The sequence below is a fragment of the Homo sapiens genome, chromosome 12 (assembly GCF_000001405.40).
Source record: "Homo sapiens chromosome 12, GRCh38.p14 Primary Assembly".
Lineage (NCBI taxonomy): Eukaryota > Metazoa > Chordata > Mammalia > Primates > Hominidae > Homo > Homo sapiens.
In genome coordinates this window covers 11,758,625-11,777,809 of record NC_000012.12, presented here as the reverse complement: position 1 = coordinate 11,777,809, position 19,185 = coordinate 11,758,625, and the positions used below count along the sequence as shown (strand labels likewise).

Below are 19,185 nucleotides of genomic sequence, written 5' to 3'. Positions count from 1 at the left end.
CCAAAAGGATGAACTAGAATTACAGGGAATTAATCTTGCTAGGGTGGGGGGTGGAGGTGGGTCAGGGGGAAGGGTTTGGAATGAAGAAGTGTGTTGTAGCCAGAAGAAAGAGGCGAGAGAATGTGATCAGCATGGGAAATGGGAAAGGCCCAGTACAGCTGGTGCATTTATCCTACTTACAGCAGGAAGACAAGGAGGGGTTTTAAGCGCAGGTGGGGAGGGGACAATGGAAAATGCACGCCCAGATTTGCATTTTGACACAATAAATCTAGGTGCAAGCTGCTGGGTACAGAAGTGACCCACTACGCCCTGATGGACAGAAATAATCCTGGGCAATGCCAGAAGAAAAAAAAAACAAAAAAACTCCACAGTAAAGAGAAAGAAATTCTACCCACAATCCTTCTACCTAGAGATAACCACAATAACTATTTTCCTCCATAGCCTTTTGGTTTATTTTTATGGATTAAAAACAATTGAGATGACTCTGAAGAGAGAGATTTGTACCCTGCCTTTTCAATTATATTATATGAGCATTTAAAAAACGTGATTTTTTTTTTTTTTTTTTTTTTTGACACGGAGTCTCACTCTGTCACCCAGGCTGGAGTGCAGTGGCGCTATCTCGGCTCACTGCAAGCTCCGCCTCCCAGGTTCACGCCATTCTCCTGCCTCAGCCTCCCGAGTAGCTGGGACTACAGGCACCTGCCACCACGCCTGGCTAATTTTTTAAATATTTTTAGCAGAGACGGGGTTTCACTGTGTTAGCCAGGATGGTCGCAGTCTCCTGACCTTGTGATCCACCCGCCTTGGCCTCCCAAAGTGCTGGGATTACAGGCGTGAGCCACTGCGCCCGGCCTAAAAAATGTGATTTTTAATTAGTGCATAATAGTCCCACATAATGACCTGCCTTAATTTATTGAACCTTGCTGGTGGTGGCCTCTGCTGCTCTGCAGAACCATGTGTAAGAAGGTTTGTCAGCATCGGAGAGTGTTCCCTAGGGATGGGTTATTAGAAAAGGAATTAGTGAGCCAAAGAGCAAAAGTGTTTTCAGGTCCTTTACCCATATTGCTGAAGTGCTTCCATAAAAGTTATGCTCACTGGATTATATTTTTGTTCTGCGGCTGCTGGTGATTTTTCATTTCACTTCCATATGTAGCCTCCCATGTGAAGTGCTGAACGTTTGGAGTGACCAGGTGTGTCAGATAGAAAGAATGTGTCCATCTCCTCATAGCTACATGTGTATTGAAAATTAACATTTAAAAAATTCTGGCTGGGTGTGGTGGCTCATGCCTTTTATCCCAGCACTTTGGGCGGCCACAGCAGGAGGATAGCTTGAGGCCAGGACTTGGAGACCAGCCTGGGAAACATAGCATGATACTGTCTCTACAAAAAGAAAAAAAAAAAAATTCCCTGCCAGTTCAAAAAACAAAAACTGATATTTTATTATTCTAAAAATCAACATTTCTAGTATTTGTTGGTATTTATTCTTTGGTGAGTTATTTAATTTAATGATTGAGCCAAGGTGTAAGTCAGGTCTCCATACTGGGACATTTTTAATGCTGCTGTGACGGGCTTTAGCATAGCACAATGTCCCGCATCCTCATCAAAACATCACTGAGGATTCACGTTCAGTGTAAAGAATCAATTCTATCACCCCAAAACCTCCCTGGGCTTAGTCTTGAGCCCCTCTTTCCACATAACCGTGAGCTCCCAGGCTAAATCTTGAAATGCCACTGCTGGTGACTCTTACAAATCCGGGGCTGGTAATAATCACCATCAAGCACAATTAGCAGGCTTGATGCCTGGCACTGTGGTAGACATGGTGTAAGGTGGATGAAATGGGTCTCTAGAACTTTAGAAATGCTGGTGAGACTGAAAATACCAGGTTAGACAGACCCAAAGAGCCACATGAAACAAAAACAGATCAGCACAGTGAAGCAATCAATAACATATTGACGTGTATGGAAAATAGTAATAACTTGGTGCTCAGTGCAGGGAACCCTCGCTGTCTCAGTGACTGCTCAGAAACCACTTCTTGGATGCGCTGCTTGTATGGTTTATCACGTTCCCTGGCCCTTCGGCAGCTCACCCGACAGGAAAACTTATAAATGTGGACTCAGTGTGAGCAATGACCTGAGCAAAGACCTGAAACTAAAGCAGTGATGGCGCCTTCTGCACACATCTGGTGGGGTAGGTGGAGTCTCCCCTCTAGATTGTAAATTCCACGGATTAACAAGAAAAGCGTCTGTTCTTGTCTACCACGGTATTCACAGTGCCTAGCAGCTATGTGGTTGATCACAGGTGCTCAGTTAATATTTGCTGAAGATGTAAATACAAAATTACCCTAAAGACATTTTAATGAATAATAAAGACAGCAGTGTCTGTATTTGACTTATGGTTTAACCCCAGCACTCATCACAAGGCCTGCCACTAAATAAGACTGGTAAACGTTTGTTGTGAATAGTTAAGTTTTTTTCCACAGTCCACTTTCTAGGATTAGAATCTGTGTGAGGGAGGCTGCAATACAACATCAGCTTCCCTGGTTTCTGCCATCAGTTCTGCTGCCGCCATCCAGTCATCTTCCTGAGGCCACAGTCCTAGGGACATCGGCTTTACCCTTCAATAGCCCAGCTTTTTCCTTTACTCCCAATTATTAACAGTGAAATTCTCAAACCACAGTTTTGACTGCGGAAAGCAAACTCATCACTGGTTCAAAGCTTCTTCCAAGGCTGAAACCATACAGAGACAGAGAATTACAAATACAGCACACAGAGGGCGTCTAGCCACACACAAGTCTGCAGAGATCGTGTTTTTATGCCCAGAGTTCCTGATTAGAGACATTCAGCTGAATAATGATCCACACATAGCAAGAGGAAGGTCTGATCCCCTTGTCCTGCCTGACCCCGGGGCTACGGTCCCTCTGCTGCATAAACTCAGAATTCCTGGGGGACATCTAAAGCAGTACCCTCTGTCATTCAGAGACCAGCTAACAAGTTGCTGGTTGTTCATTTTCTCCAAGTTCCTTCAAGGAGCAGTTTTGATGTGGTCCTCAGTACCGTGGCTGGCGTGCAGGCATGTATTTTACCAGCTTGATTGTGCTAGAAAAGGTGGTTAGCTGAAACAGGTTTACAGGTAACATACTTCAGACAGACTATGAGTTTTATATAATCTTTTGTGAGCCAAATGAAAACCTGGGCACCATTTATTTACATTTGTTTATTCCTCTTGGGAGGAGGGAAAGGTGCTTCGGGAGCCAACAAAGTTCTGGAACACAGACACTAAGGTATAGCTCATGCTTGTTATATCACATCCCTACAGGACCTAGGACAGGCAGGTGTGCAGGGCACTTTAACTGATGACATGAAGGCAGAGTCCATAGTCTCTTCACCTACATCCAGCCTTTGACTTTCTGAATTCTTCTCTCTGCACAAGCCCCAGTATTCTAACTGCAGACTCTCTTGCGTGGTTAACACACAGGATCTCTGTGCAGTTCCCTAGGTGGTGGGGCTGTTGTCAGGCCAAAATGAAATCCAGGCAGTTTGTTGACCAGGAAGAACATTGCTCAACCGTGGACCTGAAACTGCTCAGAACCTTCTCAACTCGCCCTCCTTTCTCATTTAACTCTCCTCCTTTCCTTAAAAGCAAAAACAAGATGAACAAATAAGCACCTCTCCTTTTCCTCCCCTTTCTGAGATCTGCCAACTTCCTCTTCCATGGGCCTTGTGGTTGGGTCTTGCTCCCAACGGTCTCTCAAACCCTCAGCCGGCTGAGCTCCAGGTCCGCCCTCAGTTGTGTGATGGCAACAGCCAGTCTCTGCCCGCTTCACTCTCTCTCTCTTCTCTGTGGCAGCACCCAGGAGACGGAGGAGGGCAGATGCCAGCCAGCGCAGCAGCAGGCAGCACTGCATTTCCCCAATGTTCAGGTCCACCACATCGGGTGATGCCTCCACAATGGCATTTGCAACGCAGCCCTGTGGAAGGGAGTTCCAGGAGAACCTCAGCTTCAGAGGACCGCCTTCCCAGACTTGGGGTAGACAGTCTAGGGTCTGTTTATGTTTTCCAAGATACCAAGTATAGTCCTCTTACAAATATGTGCACTGTTTTCCTCAACTGCCTTCATTTTCCTACCAGAACCCTGCTTATTTCTGAAAGTCTTTCCAGCCAGGCCATGAGAAAAGTGCTTCAAACACCTTGGACTGAGCCATGGATAAAGTCTCCTTCAAAGGGGTTCACAGCTATCATGGATCTCTTCCTTATAAGCAGAATAAACAATTTAAACTAGCGGATTACAATAAAATAATGTGTATTTATATTTGAACCAGACAGTGCCAATGTTCTGAAACTGGAATTTCACAATAAGGAAACCATGTTCTCAAATTCAACCTCTCCATCTTGTTCATTCCGACATCATGTCAAGAGCTTTTGCATTTTCCATTCAGTCTCACTGTAGTTGAGACTTGAGCAGAAAGATTTTTAATTAAAAAAAAATTTATATATATATATATGGCTCTTTGAGCTCTTGCTGAATTAAAAAAAATTCTTTATACCAACAAAGTAAACTTAAGACAAAAAGGTGACAAGGCAATAAGATCAAGATTTCATTTTTTTTTTTTTTTTTTTTGAGATGGAGTCTCACTCTGTCACTAAGCTGGAATGTAGTGGTGCAATCTCGGCTCACGGCAAGCTCTGCCTCCCGGGTTCACGCCATTCTCCTGCCTCAGCCTCCCGAGTAGCTGGGACTACAGGTGTCCGCCACCACACCCAGCTAATTTTTTGTATTTTTAGTAGAGACGGGCTTTCACCATGTTAGCCAGGATGGTCTGGATCTCCTGACCTTGTGACCCACCTGCCTCGGCCTCCCAAAGTGCTGGGATTACAGGCATGAGCCACTGCACCTGGCCAAGATTTTTCATACTTCAATCCTGATCTTGGACCTTCCCGAGACCAATCTTAGAAACAGCTTTATGGTATGAGCAATCTAAAGATCTTCCAACATCATGATTCTAAAATAAAAATTTTAGGCTTTTGTTGATTGAAGGTAGACCAGAGAGAATCACAAGGAAAGTTTAAATGGAGCATTACCATTCTTAGTTGTTCTTTTAATCATGCAGAATGGTGAACAGACGCTCTGACTTGGTGGTGGAAGAGAACTGCTAGTTTGTTTTAGTCAATATCAAGTCCATAGCTGACTTTTAGAGGAAATATGCAATCAATTACTTCCTTGACTCAGTGTAGTTTAACTCCCCTATACCCCAAAGATTAAACTCCTTAGAAATTTTGGGTGGGGAAACTGGTTTCCTTCAAATGTACACAACAGAAACCATCACCCCATCAATCAAACAAAGAATCTCATTTCAGAGTCTATCCAAGGCCAGGCATGGGCACAGACCTGATCACTGAAAACCATCTTTACTATTCGGACACCTTTGACTGTTGAGTCATAAGGTTTCCCAGGGAAGAGGTTCATGAAATTACCGAACTATATCACTGTTCTTCTGAATTCAAAAACATTCTCTTGTGGTTTAAGATAAACAGTGATCTCTGAGTCTTTCTGCAAACTAATAACCTTTTGCAACCAAGGTTCCAGAAAAATTAACCCCTCTGTTGGCTGCCTAGCTTCCAGATGTTGGTTGTTATGCTCAGAGATTAAGCTTTAACAGAGATGAATCACACCTTCTACTTTTTAGGTGTCTGAAAGTTTTTATACACATGATCACAACATTATCATACCTTTGATGGTGTAGGAAAAGGCACACTGTATTATATTTAGTCATCTACCTTTCCTACTGCTGATGTATCATACTAAGGGCTTTCAATATAATTGGATGATTGACCATCAGCACTGGTGGGAATTTGAGAATCTGGAAAATAAGAACCTGCGAGGTGATTTCCTCATATCACAGTGTCAGAGCTGGGTCTGGAGGCCAGGCTTCCTGACTCCAAGTTACATTCTTGCTCCACTGCAATATAGTTCTTTGCTATGCAAGTCTGATTAAACTTTGTATGAATTTAGTTGAAATCTGAGAGAACACTGCATTCTCAGAAGAGTCTTGGTTTACTCAGAGGGACCCAAGTGGTTAAATAGGACATGGTGTTGGTTATATGAACTGAAACTTCACGGCCAGAATTCTACAGGGAAGGGGAGTGTGGATCCATATTTCTTGATTTCTTCCTATTTGCTGTGAGGATCCACTTTCTCATGGGAACCTGAAGCTCTTAGTGTAGAGTTGTCATTGGCGCCATGTTGATCCGTTACCATGGAGATCACTCTGGTAACATACAAACCTGCCACCAGTCCAGACACACAAGTATCTCATTCTGACTCCCAGAAGGGTTTCTCTACCCCCACTCCCACCAGTTTGAAGTTTATCTCTGCTGAGATTTAGCTCCAAAGTATTTAGAGTTTGACTTTTAAATATCATTAAAAGTATGACTACTCAGACAAAGTGGGAGATACTGAAAAGGTGTCTCAAGATTTTAAAGCAACAAAGTTGACACACAGCAATGGCTCCCTAGGTTAGAGTTACAGACTCAGTTCTTACATTAGTTGACCAAAGAAACAAAATTACAGTGTGGAGTGGGACACCACTGAAATCACTGCCTACCCTACCTCTTATTGATATCTGCAATGCACTATTTTTGACACAATATCTTGCTCATCACGGTAAGCTGTAAAATGTGAAAGCACTGCTCAATGTTAATACCTACAAAGTCCTGCTATGTTTTCAGACACTGGAGTTCCTATATATGGCAGGTCAATGGCAATGCTGTCACAACCAGTCTCTAATGGGAGACAAATAGACTAGATGTTGGTCACAAGTTAAAGCATGTCAAAATCACTAGGCAAGGCCATTGGATCAACCATGAGGGTGCCTCAGAGCCATTGCATAGGCATTTTTCCTTTTTTTTTTTAAGAGATGGGGTCTTGCTCTGTTGTTCAGGCTGGAGTGCAGTGGCACAATCATGGCTCACTGCAGCCTTGAACTCATGGGATCAAGCAATCCTCCTGCCTCAGTCTCCTGAATAACTGGGACCACAGGCACGTGCTGTTACTTACTCATTAGCCGTGACTTATTCTTTATTCACGGAAGTCAAAAAGGCATTCTTTCTCAAGCATCAAAAAGGCTACATTTGTGCATGGGTCCCTGACACCTTTCTAGAAGAAGGTTTATTTTAATTTCCTCCAAATCCTAAGGTTATTGGAAGATAAGTAGAGGAAGGGAAGGAGGAAGGGCCTAACAAAACAAGTCTAGCATCCGGTTGACAGTGGCTAGATATGACCCTCTCTGTCAGGAATTCCAGAAGTCACAGAAGGAAGGCTGCAACCGCCATACTTATGTTCAGAACCCCCAGGCTTCAGGATGGGCCTGGATCACATGGGGACAGAAAGTTATCTGGCTTCCTTTAACATGGGCATAGGCAACCCAGCATCTAGTAAGCGTGAGGTAAGTGAAGGAGGGGGAACTTCCTTCCTCTGAATGCCCATCCTGAAACCCGGGCCACGGCCTCAGTCACACAGAGTCTTGGTGGTGCAGGGAAACTGTCAGGCACGTGAGAAGGCACTGTCACCTCCCAATATCCAAAGCAAGGCCTGATGGTCTACTGGGGCTCTCAAGGCCAACGAGGCTTGTTCCTTTTCCCCAGAGCTGTTTCCTTGCATTTTCCTGATTACCAGCACCTGTGTCTGAAGAGCAACGGCTATGAAGAAGATGATATAACTCAAACTTACTTATGAGCAACTTTCTACCTTTTTTTTGATTGAAAGGAAAGGATGGTGAATTCCATCCACCTGTCAGTCATCTTGCCCCGGTGACAGCCTGTTCAGCCTGTGACTCCTCTGTCTGTACCATCCTCCTCTTATCGTATTCTTCTCCCGTGCCACCTGCCCAAGGGCACAGGTAAGAGACACACCCAGGGAGTCACAGCTCTGGGCTTCAGGAGAGCACACACCTGTTCTGAAGACAGCTCTTATTCCAAATAAGAGCTACCTCCCTTCTTACTTCCAAACGAAGTAAATAATCAACCCCTCAATGTCTTCCACCTTCCCGCACTTCCTCACCAGAGGAGTGAAGGGGCATGTTACAGTCTAGATCTGGTCACAGCATTTCAAGAGTATTTTCTTTTTTTGTACCTTAAGCTCAAACGGGGAATATGAAGGAAAAGAATTTTTTAAAAGACCCCACTGGCTGCTATAGGCCAATGAAAGATTAAAGTGAAAGATTAAATTTCTCTGCAGGAAAAATGACACCATTTCTCCCCTTACTATGAACTCGAAATGACACCTACATAGTATTTTGCTACACGTGCCAAAGAATAACTTAGTACTGTGAGTCTTTTATAATCAGGTACCATCAAAATCGTTTTTTTTTTTCTTCTCAGATTTTCTCCTGGATGTTATCTGTGTTTTAAATAGAAGTGAATTTTAAGAAATATTTTGGCCTTGATTGAAAAATAGTTTTGAAAGTCCATATTCTCCAGGGAAGAAAAATGAGATTAACAATGAGAATGAGGAAGACAAGTAAATTCTGGAACTATCTATGCCCAAATAAGTGAAAAATAATAAAACTCTGGACTTCAATAATAGGACATACACTAAAAGCTTATGTGTACAGAGGAAAGCTAATAAAATCAAACACAGAAGCAAGAACAGATGTATGTTCTGTGAAGAGCTATGTAAGTTTTAGATATTTACCTCCTGTAATTACTACTCTACTGGGCACAGTAGGTGCTCAATAAATACTGGTTTTGATAATTATTATCCAAGTTTTTTCTCTCTTATTCTGAGTTCCTTCCTTGCTTATCTTTGTACTAGCACTGAGCCTACGGGTTCTTCAATCAATCCTTGTTAAACAGAACAAGATTTGAATTTTCTTCAGAACAAGCCCAAGCAGTCACAAATGGTATTTCCAAGGAATTTCACAAGGAGAAAGAGGCAGTCAGGTGCTGGCCACCTTCTTTATGTAGCTGGAATGTGGTAGGCAGATTTCTGTCCTAATATGCAAGGTGTGGACAGAGCTGGCCAGTGGGGTTCCAGGCCAAGCTGGCCCCAGGATGAACTAGAACAGGCTCTCTTTCAGAGGCAAGGGCAAGGGTGATGTTTGCTCAGTTTATCACCCAGGTATATTATTTTCCACAACGGAAAGTTGCAGGCTTTTTTGCCATTTCGAGAGTATGCAGACTATGAGGTTAATTTTGTTTCTTTTTGCAGCCCTGGTACGGGTTTGACTTCGGTTCTAAGCATAAGGTCAATTTAACAGCAGTCAAAACAGTAGGGGTGCACTGAGGGGATAAAGAACACAGGCTTTGGAGCAGGCAGACATGAGTTCAAATTCTGGCTCTGCTACCAGCCAGTTCTGTGGCCTTGACCCAATTACTTACCATCTCTAAGCCCTAGTTTCTGTATGTGTAAAGCAAAGATACTATCAGCTACCTGCCAGGCTTGCTGGGAGAATAAAATTAATGAGGAAATTTATTAAAGCACTAGTAACACATAGTACACACCCAGTAAACTGTGACTTTCCACATGGTATCTAAGTTTTCTGGTACCTTGGTTTTCTCCAATCAAAAAGCGTGCTTAGAAGACTGAGGCAAAATTGCTAATAGTTCTTTACTAATACAAACGGAAAGATAGAGGAACAATAATGCAGCAGTCCTAAAACTACATATCAGCACATTAAAAAAAAAAAGAATCAAATTAGCAGAACCAGTCAACACTGGGACTGTACCATGGAAGCCAATTTGGACAAGGAGAACCATAACGGGAATGGCTTAAATGAGCAGCCATTTGGAAATATCCTGAGTGTTCCCTGGAGCAGCTGGGAGGAAGTAAACCAAAGCCCCAAGAGAACCTTCTCTTGAGCAAACTCACGTTCAACCCATGATCCTAGTCATTTTCATGTCAGCATTCAGAGACCCCCTCAAAACAAGTTGCTATAGATGACATATCTGGCAAGCACCCATTTTTCCTGTTTACATCAGATATACTTATTAAAAAAGTGTAGCTTTTTCATGCAATCTTCTTCATCAGACAAGCTCTTATACAATGAATATTTCTTCCCTACTCTTTAGAATAAATCCTATAAACAGCTGCTAAAGGCAAAAACCTCTTAAAACTGATTATACAATGTTAGAGTTGGACAGAGTTTATTAAGGTCATAGAGTTTGATTTCTCCCAGTTTTACAGATGAGCAACTGAGGCTCATCAAGGTTAAACAGTTCATACCAAGTCACAGGCAACTGAGTGACAGCCAGGATTGAACCCTGGCCTCCTGGCCCCAAGTCCAATATTCTTTCTGCTATACCATGCGGCCACCTGAAACTTTCCACTTGTTTATTTTCCCCCACAGAGTCGAGCCATGCTGCACACATAGAAGACTTCTACTAAATATTTGCCAAATTGATCTACAAATTCTACAATTCTGCTGTCTTAGCCTAATACTATATTTCAGTCTCCAGAGATCCCAATAGTGGTTTAATAAGAAGTATGAAGGCTTATAGGAATTCACAAAGTGCCTCTGAAATCATAATCTAATTTCCTCACAACAATGTGAAAAAGGTATGACTGTACCCATTTTAGAGATAAGGAAACTGAGGCTGGGAGGTTCAGTGACTTGTTCAAGGTTACATTGCTGGTTGTATATTGTTAGAGCTGGCCCTTAAATTTAGACAACTGATTTCAAAGCCTGTGCCTTTTTTATTTCATTAACTTAAGCCTAATTAATAATGACTGTTCTCACGCCCCAAATGATACCGCCATCCTTCTTTCTCCTAGCCTGTTCCATTAAAGAAAAAAATTTAGTTCCTAAGGCATCATCATGTCAATTTCAGAAACAAAACAAAGCACCACATGCAGGCTGATGGAACTGAAGAAAATGACATGTTCAGGTACAAGAATATCGTCCACCCAGCACAGAGCCCTATTTCCTTCAACAAAGCAAAGAATTCAGACCCAGCTCCCAAGACCGGAATAGCACTTACATTTACTGCCTTCAAGATTTTAAAGGCCGGCCTGAGGAAATGGCTGCATTCTCCCCTGACTGCCCGCCCCCACCCCATTGCTGAAGACGTCTTCAATCATTGCTTTATGTCAAAAGGGGAAGGAAAGAGGTCATTTCTGTGTCTTGGCAGCATAGGGCTGTCACATAACCTATAAGGCCTCCACGCAGGTCAGGGATGGGCAAAGCCACAAAGCAAGGGAGCAAGAAACAGGCTCCCGGCCTGGCTGCCGGCTGCTCTCGAGAGCTGTTCAAGATGGAGCTGGTGGCAGCTAATGGCGGGGGTGGGAGGAAGGGAAGCATGAAGAAGGCTGTGAAGAAAGGTGTGGGGGGACGGATATAATCCGGCATACAGAAACCTGTCAGGATGGGATTTATTTTTGTTCTGTGAGGGAGTATAATAGGGCTTTGCCTGCACTCTCAATAGCTGTTTTGAAGTGAACCCGGCTGGTATGTCTTTAATTTGTCATTTCATTATGAAACTGTTTCCCTTCCAAGAAGCCTTCAAGTCAGGAAGCTCTGTCTGCCCACACAGGAAATTCCTTTGCTTCAACTTCCCCAAAAAGGAAATTTCCCTCAGAAGTGAGCCCAGCATATGCCTTTGAGCAGAGCTGCTTCAAGAAACTTTGGCAGCTGAGTCCTGAAAACACCCCTTGGCTTTCTGCTGCTGCTGGGATGTGTGGATAAACAGTTCAGCTTTCACCCAGCAAGTGGGGACCCCACCGAAACCGACCCTGGCCCACACCTTCCTCCTGCTTCTTCATTCTCCCGTGCCCTTGCTCTTCATCACCTCCTGTGAGCCGCCAAGAGTTTTAACCCTGCGAGAGGCAACCAGTACCTGCGGCTTTCATGAAGAAATAAGCATACCTGCATCACACAGACGCTCACACCCACCACGGGACTGTCCCAGGACAGTCTCAGCACAAGGTACCTACTCTCGTTTCCCCCTCAGTCTCATACACAAACTTGAGACTTCTGGCAGAAAGGCTGCAGCATTTCAAATGAAGAGGGCACAAGAAAATAAAATGACAAATTATAGTTCCTAAAGCACGTATGTTACCAAAGTACCTTTTATCCAGGGTGGTGGTGGTTTTTTTTTTCCCCATGCACGCTTTCCCACTGAGGATTTTAAGTAAAACAAGGAAGGGGGAGATATCTCAAACCACAGCCTTACAAAAATTAATCTCTCAGACATATTGTGAATGGTTAAGTGGTGAGAGCCCACAGCAGCTGTGCTGAAGTGAATAAGATACAGTATTTTATGAAGCTTCTTAGCAAAGAGGCATTAGCAGGAAACTGCCAGATTCACAGTTAAGTTTTTAATTTTCCATTTAAAATCACTTCATTAAAAAAAAAAAAGTGGTGAAAAGGAAACAATACAGAGACCTAAAGCACAAAAAGAGAGAATGGTATTGAACCTGAGACTGCGTATCAAGCAGTGGGGACCAAGAGAGACGTAGACAGATGAGGATCTAAGACGGCCCTGGATTTTCACTTTGCAATTAGATTGCATTGGAATGGTAGGGGGATGGGGTCTGATCTTATTACACTATGTATGTGCCAGGGCTCTGAAAGGGACAGTATTTACCAGGAGACAGAGCAAGGGACTAGGGAGAGTCATATAGTTCACTAAAATCTGGATATATAAACCCTGAAGTTTTGGGTTGTGGTAGATGTTTTCTGTGGGGTAGCTTTAAATTTTTATTTTAGTGAGTTATTCTGTTTTTCTGAAATTTGTGAAGCTTTAACCACAGTCAGATCTCAAAGGGGAACTCAACACTATTCTTCATGTTCTTAAAGTGAAGAGATTAGGCAATAGGGCTTTGGCTTCTATTGGAAGGCAAGGTGTATATTGGATGGACCTGTCTCCCACCTACCACCTCTGTGACTCTGGTCAAGTTCCTTTTCCTCTTTAAGTTTGACTCTTCATCAGTAAGATGAGGATAATAAAACCCAGTTCACAGGACTGCCTAGAGGGTTAAATGATACAATACATGTGAAAAGCGCCTACCATAAGCACTCAATAAATGGAAGTTATTATTCCACATGGAGAACTACAAAGGATCTTTCCCCCAAATTCTGCACACCTCCTCCCTGTCACACACACATAGGCCACCCAGCTCTGGTAGCTCCTTCCCCAAGGGTCAAGATTTTCCTGACCACTTACTTCAACTCAAGACTTGGATTACCATGCCCTTTATACATCTGCAAGATCTTGGCATTACGATCAAACGTGATCATCCCTGAAGTAAAGACATTTAGTGAGAATGGTTGAAAGGCTTAAGGATTCAGATTTATACTCCCAAATTCACTACTCCTGTCAAAGAAATGCAGATGACTTGCACATTCTCAAATCGCCAGTGTACTAGAGGAGACCTGACCTTCTTTGGCCAAGACTGATGATGGCAATGTCTTGAGAGCAATGGCCACGCACAGTAAGTAGCAGACTGCTCATCCTGGCCTCAGAGCTCCAGGCTCACAATGTTTTGTCTAAATCAGGAGGCCTGGATTTTCCATCTAGTTTTCCATCTGTCTTATCCACAGAGAAGGCCAGCCCTAAGCAAATTATAGTGCTTATTTCCAACTCTACCCACTCCGTGCTGGCCACGGTCCTTCCACTTCAAAAAATTCAGGAGATCTGATAAGCTAATTTTCATTAAGATATTAGGGACTTGAGGTATTAATTATCTCTCTCCATAACTATCTCCTGCCATAATGATTTACTTTTAAAAGTGGAGCTATGTGGAAATAATGCCTGATCCAAAAGGAATGTCTCAACAATGGAATTTCAGGCACCCTGGTCATTCATCGTGGGAGATATTTATGTTCAAAGCACTCTAAATCATTGCAACTGGGTGACCACATTCCCTGCTTAAGTATAACATTCACCCCGTTCACAGTCAACTATAAGCCCTCTGTCCTGGGTCCAAAGTAATGCTATCTGAACAATAAAGGTTTAGAAGGCAGCCACTTTCTGAATCTCAATACTCCTTTAGCAAACAAAGAAGTACCAGACATGAGAGAGCTACACAGCGTCTGCACAGTGCCAATGCTACAATACCCAGTTGTATTTCAAGTTCTTTTCCCCGATCACTGGGGTGGCAGGAATCGTCACAGTAGTAGGAATAATCACAGAAGCTTTGTGAAGCAGGTATCTGGAATAACAGCTATAAGACGATCCCAACGAAAGCACGTGCGTGCACACACACTTGGATTCATCTGAAGCAAAAATTTTTCTCTAAGAATCAAAAGAAAAGCTTATTTTCTTTCATAAGGTCCAAAATCTATTTGATCAGAGACAAATTTCACATCTTTTTAGGTTTTTGTGGGTCTCTGAAGCTCCTCTCAGCACTTGGTCAGGGCATTCCAGTAGTTTCATTTATAACCCATGAGTCTCAAGTGAAGAAAACCTCTCTCAGGGAATTCCTACTTTTGTGTTCCTAAAAGACCTTTAATAAAACCCCAGATACCTGGATGAATATTTGAATCACGGCCAAATTTTAAGGTCAGCAAGAGCCCCCACGAAAAATGCTTGACAGAGTTGTAAATAGGGGAACGAGAACTGCGTCTGTTCAGAGAGGGGACTTTGTGAGGTGGCTTCACTACCACCTCATAGGAGAAGTGAAAGGAGTCAGTGTGGGAGCTGAGGAGTTCAAGAACAATGGCGTGAAGGAATCAGAATGAAAAAGGAAAGCATTTTCTCCCCGACTTTGTTCATATCTAGTGGGAAACCATGCCTAACAGAGATGAACCTTCCAACCCATCCGAATAACAGGTTTGGGAACCTGCACCACCTTAGGGTTCCTTCCTGAAGCAAGGCATGCGAGGAGGAGGAGGAAGGAGAAAGAGTCATTTTATGTCCTCAAGAGGGCTGGCACCAAATCACTTACTCATATTTGTTTCTCTACAAAGAGTTCCTGATGTTGGTGACTTAAGAGCTACTTAAGGAGAAAAAATAAAACCCCTCATCAGCTTTGGTCACGAATCACTGCTGCTTTGGGCGAGTCTTTTCTCCCTAATCTTACACCCCCTTTTCACAGCCCATGGCAATGAGTAGATGATTCCAGCAACTAGTTGAGGGCCTCTATTTAGAAATACTTTCCTTGGGTGTGAGTTTTCATGCCCAGGGGATGGTATAAGTGTCACAGATTCTCTCTGCTGGCTGAGGCGGATGGAAATGTACTTTCAAGCTCAGCATCAAAGCCTTCACTTTAGAAGCTGAAAGCCTTCATTCCCTTGCCAACTGTGCTTTTTTTCTCCCATAATTAATTAATGCAGTATTAATTGTGCATGTGCTACGGAGCCGGCTAAGGGAGGATAGTGTGGCCCATCCACGCAGATCAGCTGGCTCTGTAAAGCCTAAAACCCAGTGGATACCATCTCCAGAGGGAGAAAAACGCAGACTGAAATTTTTTACAGGTTACAGGAAAGGCAAACACGCCTTGAGTTGCAGAGGGGATTGCCGCTAATCACACAGTTGGGGTCAAGTAGATAGTTAGCAGAAGCCACACCTGTGCATGTTGCATGGGGCAAAGGGCCAAGCCACAGACAATTCTCAGGCCAGAAAGGGGGCTATGAGAACAGGGGAGCAGGCCTGTGATCTGGCTGTAAGGTCCTGGGAACCAGCATAAGGCAAGAGTGGCAGGGACAGTCTTTAGAAGCCCTGCAAGGCCTAGGAGCTGGCACCAGTTCTCATCCCACAAAAGCATTAACCCGATTTCAATCACAGGAACCATAGGGAAATGCTCAACAGAGCTGGGTGTTGGATTTCCCTATTTCCTTGCAGGAGGGCTTCCTCCCAAAACAATCACAGGTAAAACGAAGGACAATTTCCTGTGTCATGAAAGTACCACCATCTGCACTAAAATTTGATGTTGAGTCCTAAAAATCAAGTGAATGATCATGAAATCTGGCATTTACAGATAATGTTCCACTGCTGATACCCCTTGTGTTTCTCTTCTGGAATAAGAGAACAATGCGACGATTGAGTTGGGGAGAACTTAGGAATCATATACTCAGGCCATTTCACTTTGCAGATGTGGAAACCACAGTCCTGAGAGATGGAATGAACTGCTGGGATGACCCAAGTAATCAGCCACGTAGAACCAGAGCTCAAGGAACTGACCCCTACAAGAGCATGTTCTCTGCCCTCTTACCCTGTTGTAGCGTGTTCTGGCACACATGCCATGTGGGTAAACTAAGGCACCAAACGTCAGGCAATTTTTCTGAAGCGTGTTGGCTTAACACAAATTATCAGGAAGTTCAGTGTTTTAAGGTGTAAACTCAGTAACACAATCTTCATTCAATCACAGCATCTTTCTTACTGTTTAATAACCATCTGTGAGGTAGATCATCTCTTTAAAAAAGATGGAAAATAATAGACAAGGAACCTCTTTTTACTTCATTTAGTTTTGTTTCTAACACTCCAGAATTTACACACATACCTGAGACTATCTGGCAGATAACAGTGTGCATACAGGATTGGATATGGAAATTTATCTTCCTTCAAGTTCAAAAGATAATTTGGTTTATAGCTCTGATTTTATCCATCTGGGCCCTCTTGTCAGTAATTTATATTATGCTTAAAAATTGGAAAAAAAAATCAGCCTGTTAGCTTGGATATTCTCCTTCTAACCAATAGATAGAATGAAACAACTTTCATTTGCTCCTCAGACTTTTAAAGAGTAATAGGGTGAAGTGGAAAATAAAAGTCTGGGTTTTGGAATTAGATACGGATTCAAATTGGGGCTCCTCCACTTTCTCTGGGTGACCTCGGGCAAGTGGTTTACCTGAGCCTCAGGTATAATATCTACTGTGCAGAGTTTGTTATTATTCAGGATAATATATATGAAGCATATACATATACACACATATATACATATATACACACACACACATATACTTTTATATACACACACACACACACACACACACACACACATATATATAATAATAGTAGTGATCATTATTTCTTCTTCCACACAACAATGCCACAGAGATTCTCTAGAGTGGCTTTATGATCTTAAACACGGTTGACCTCAGAGTGGCTCCTAAGGAGAAACACAGGCTCCTGTGAGCTGGCAGGTAGGGTACAATGACCAAAAAACTAAAGCTCATTTGCAAAGATGAGCTACTTCTGGAAAACAAATGGGTAATAAAATCCTAACAATGATACTTCTCAATCAGAGCTCCATAAATTGCTGGATACCCCTATAATTTTTAAATGGTGCTATTCAACACCCTAAAACTTGTCCTAGGTGCTTTTAAAAAAGTATTGTTACATCTTCCCTTACAAACCTTCACCCTCCTCAGTGAACCATTTCAGTTAGTACCCCCACCCCAGAAGTAGAGAATTTAGCCTCAGCTGACCTGGTAAAATAGGGTATTCACTGCGTAGCCCTGTGCAGTCAACTTTCCCTTCTAGGTATCCAATCGTCATCCACCCCACATCTACAGTTCTTTATCCATTATCCGTACCCATCATCTGCATTTCTATTACTGGAATCTTACAGCCCCATTTGAGAGCTACTGGTATCCATGATCTGCTGGAAGCAGAAATGGAGACCAATGTTGAAAGAATGGGGTTTTGTCCACACACCCAAGATGGAGGCAGTAAATATTGGGGCAGTGTGACTAATTATACTTGGGAATTTACAGTCAGCATGTGGCCAGAGCCAGGGCCAGTTTAAATCTCTCAAGTCCTGCTCTACCCCTCCTTCAGAAGAGATCAGAAAAATGAACCACAAAACACTCACACATGGTACAGGCAACTGAGAATCAGAATCCACCCATGGCAACAGCAAAAGCAGCAACATCTAAACGTCGCTGCTAACGTTTACCTCTGATGAAGTTGTCAAGGTCATCCTGCCAGAAACCCCAAAAGTTTGAATTACTAATGTGGTGTAACTCACACATGAAGCAAAATGGGAGAAAATATCAGTTATTTGAGCATGGAAACTGCTGTATTTGTATATACTCAGCTCAACCAATGCTTTCTGATAATCAGAGGAGGTGAGAAGTAACTTAGAGAAGCACATTCAAGCCAACACACTGAACCTTTATCACACCTGCCAGAAAGCATTAGGTAGATACATGTAAGGGTGACTGTGGAGCTCATGGACAGGAACTCCTCAATCTGCGGAAACCCATCAAGACGAGAGAAAGACCACAGACGTATTGAGGGTTGGGAAAATCCAAGAGGAAGCAACGGACAGAAGAAAAGAAGAAATGGAAATAAAGTTTCTGATTTCCTGTTGCTGTTCAAGTTTCATAAAATGGACTGGTTCTCATCGTCTTTTATTTTTTAAAGGGTTCTCTTAGTCTGCTATAACCTTTCAGTGTTGAGTCTAGAATAAAGCTGGGCACCTCTGGGCTCACATAAATAACACAGAGCACCAGGTAGGGACAACCCATTGTCAACAGTTTCCAAATGTCTACTTCAGAACTCTGAGGAAAGGGAGAGCCCGTGACACTAATGAGGGGCCGTGCCATCTTCATCCTCCCCTCCCCATCCCCCACAGCGAAACCAGGGCCACTTTGTCAGAGCTGACGCTGGAGGAACTGCCTTAAATGTACACAGAGCTCACTGCATGAAATGTGAAGTGAAAGAAAAGGTCAGTAAACCTCTGGTTATATATTTTTTTTCTTAAAAAAAAAAAGACATCTATAAATAGCTGCATTTATTGAAGCTGCTTCCTTATCAGGAAGCATGGAGCTAGGAATTAACGTCTGCCTGCATCGGAAATTCTTTCAGACAGCAAACCCAAAAAGGAAATTTCCCTTCCAAAGCATCCTGGCTGTTCTGCTGTGGGCTGTTTTTGCTCTTCAAGCTGTTTGAAGCAGCTAACCAGGGCCCTCGTACAGCCACATGTGCCGCGGGGAAAGTAGAAAGCTTCAAGCATTTGGATGTAAAAAGTGAAGGCACCCAAAAGAAGGCTTAAGGGGGAACAAAGTAGAAAATGCTAGTGGCTGGTCGGCTTTGTTAGAAGTCATTACTGCTTTGTAAGACACTGACAGAGAATTAAATCTCTTCTCCTTGTCCTTGTCTCAACTCTGCTGGTGATATCACTGCACGTCACAGGCAGCTGTGAGGAGAGGCCATTTTTGGAACACTGATGTGATAGCAAAGGACAGGGGAGGACTTGATAGGTATTAGAAGAGTGGGGAAGGCTGAAGGAGATTCACAGATTCAGGCG

The 19,185-nt window shown here is 43.1% G+C and overlaps 1 protein-coding gene across 12 annotated transcripts in view, besides 7 other annotated features; it reads right to left on the bottom strand.

The window, feature by feature from the left end:
- Window positions 1-19,185, bottom strand: part of ETV6 (ETS variant transcription factor 6) — a 245,704-nt gene that overhangs the window by 117,568 nt on the left and 108,951 nt on the right. The window lies entirely within an intron of this gene.
- Window positions 11,639-11,718: an enhancer, noted in NCBI's record as "active region_5992". NCBI's record gives its function as "activates an Ori minimal core promoter by ATAC-STARR-seq in GM12878 lymphoblastoid cells {active_cell/tissue: GM12878}" and the evidence as "EXISTENCE:reporter gene assay evidence [ECO:0000049][PMID:35858748]".
- Window positions 11,729-11,808: an enhancer, noted in NCBI's record as "active region_5991". NCBI's record gives its function as "activates an Ori minimal core promoter by ATAC-STARR-seq in GM12878 lymphoblastoid cells {active_cell/tissue: GM12878}" and the evidence as "EXISTENCE:reporter gene assay evidence [ECO:0000049][PMID:35858748]".
- Window positions 14,314-14,523: an enhancer, noted in NCBI's record as "active region_5990". NCBI's record gives its function as "activates an Ori minimal core promoter by ATAC-STARR-seq in GM12878 lymphoblastoid cells {active_cell/tissue: GM12878}" and the evidence as "EXISTENCE:reporter gene assay evidence [ECO:0000049][PMID:35858748]".
- Window positions 14,854-14,903: an enhancer, noted in NCBI's record as "active region_5989". NCBI's record gives its function as "activates an Ori minimal core promoter by ATAC-STARR-seq in GM12878 lymphoblastoid cells {active_cell/tissue: GM12878}" and the evidence as "EXISTENCE:reporter gene assay evidence [ECO:0000049][PMID:35858748]".
- Window positions 15,404-15,523: an enhancer, noted in NCBI's record as "active region_5988". NCBI's record gives its function as "activates an Ori minimal core promoter by ATAC-STARR-seq in GM12878 lymphoblastoid cells {active_cell/tissue: GM12878}" and the evidence as "EXISTENCE:reporter gene assay evidence [ECO:0000049][PMID:35858748]".
- Window positions 15,534-15,703: an enhancer, noted in NCBI's record as "active region_5987". NCBI's record gives its function as "activates an Ori minimal core promoter by ATAC-STARR-seq in GM12878 lymphoblastoid cells {active_cell/tissue: GM12878}" and the evidence as "EXISTENCE:reporter gene assay evidence [ECO:0000049][PMID:35858748]".
- Window positions 19,135-19,184: an enhancer, noted in NCBI's record as "active region_5986". NCBI's record gives its function as "activates an Ori minimal core promoter by ATAC-STARR-seq in GM12878 lymphoblastoid cells {active_cell/tissue: GM12878}" and the evidence as "EXISTENCE:reporter gene assay evidence [ECO:0000049][PMID:35858748]".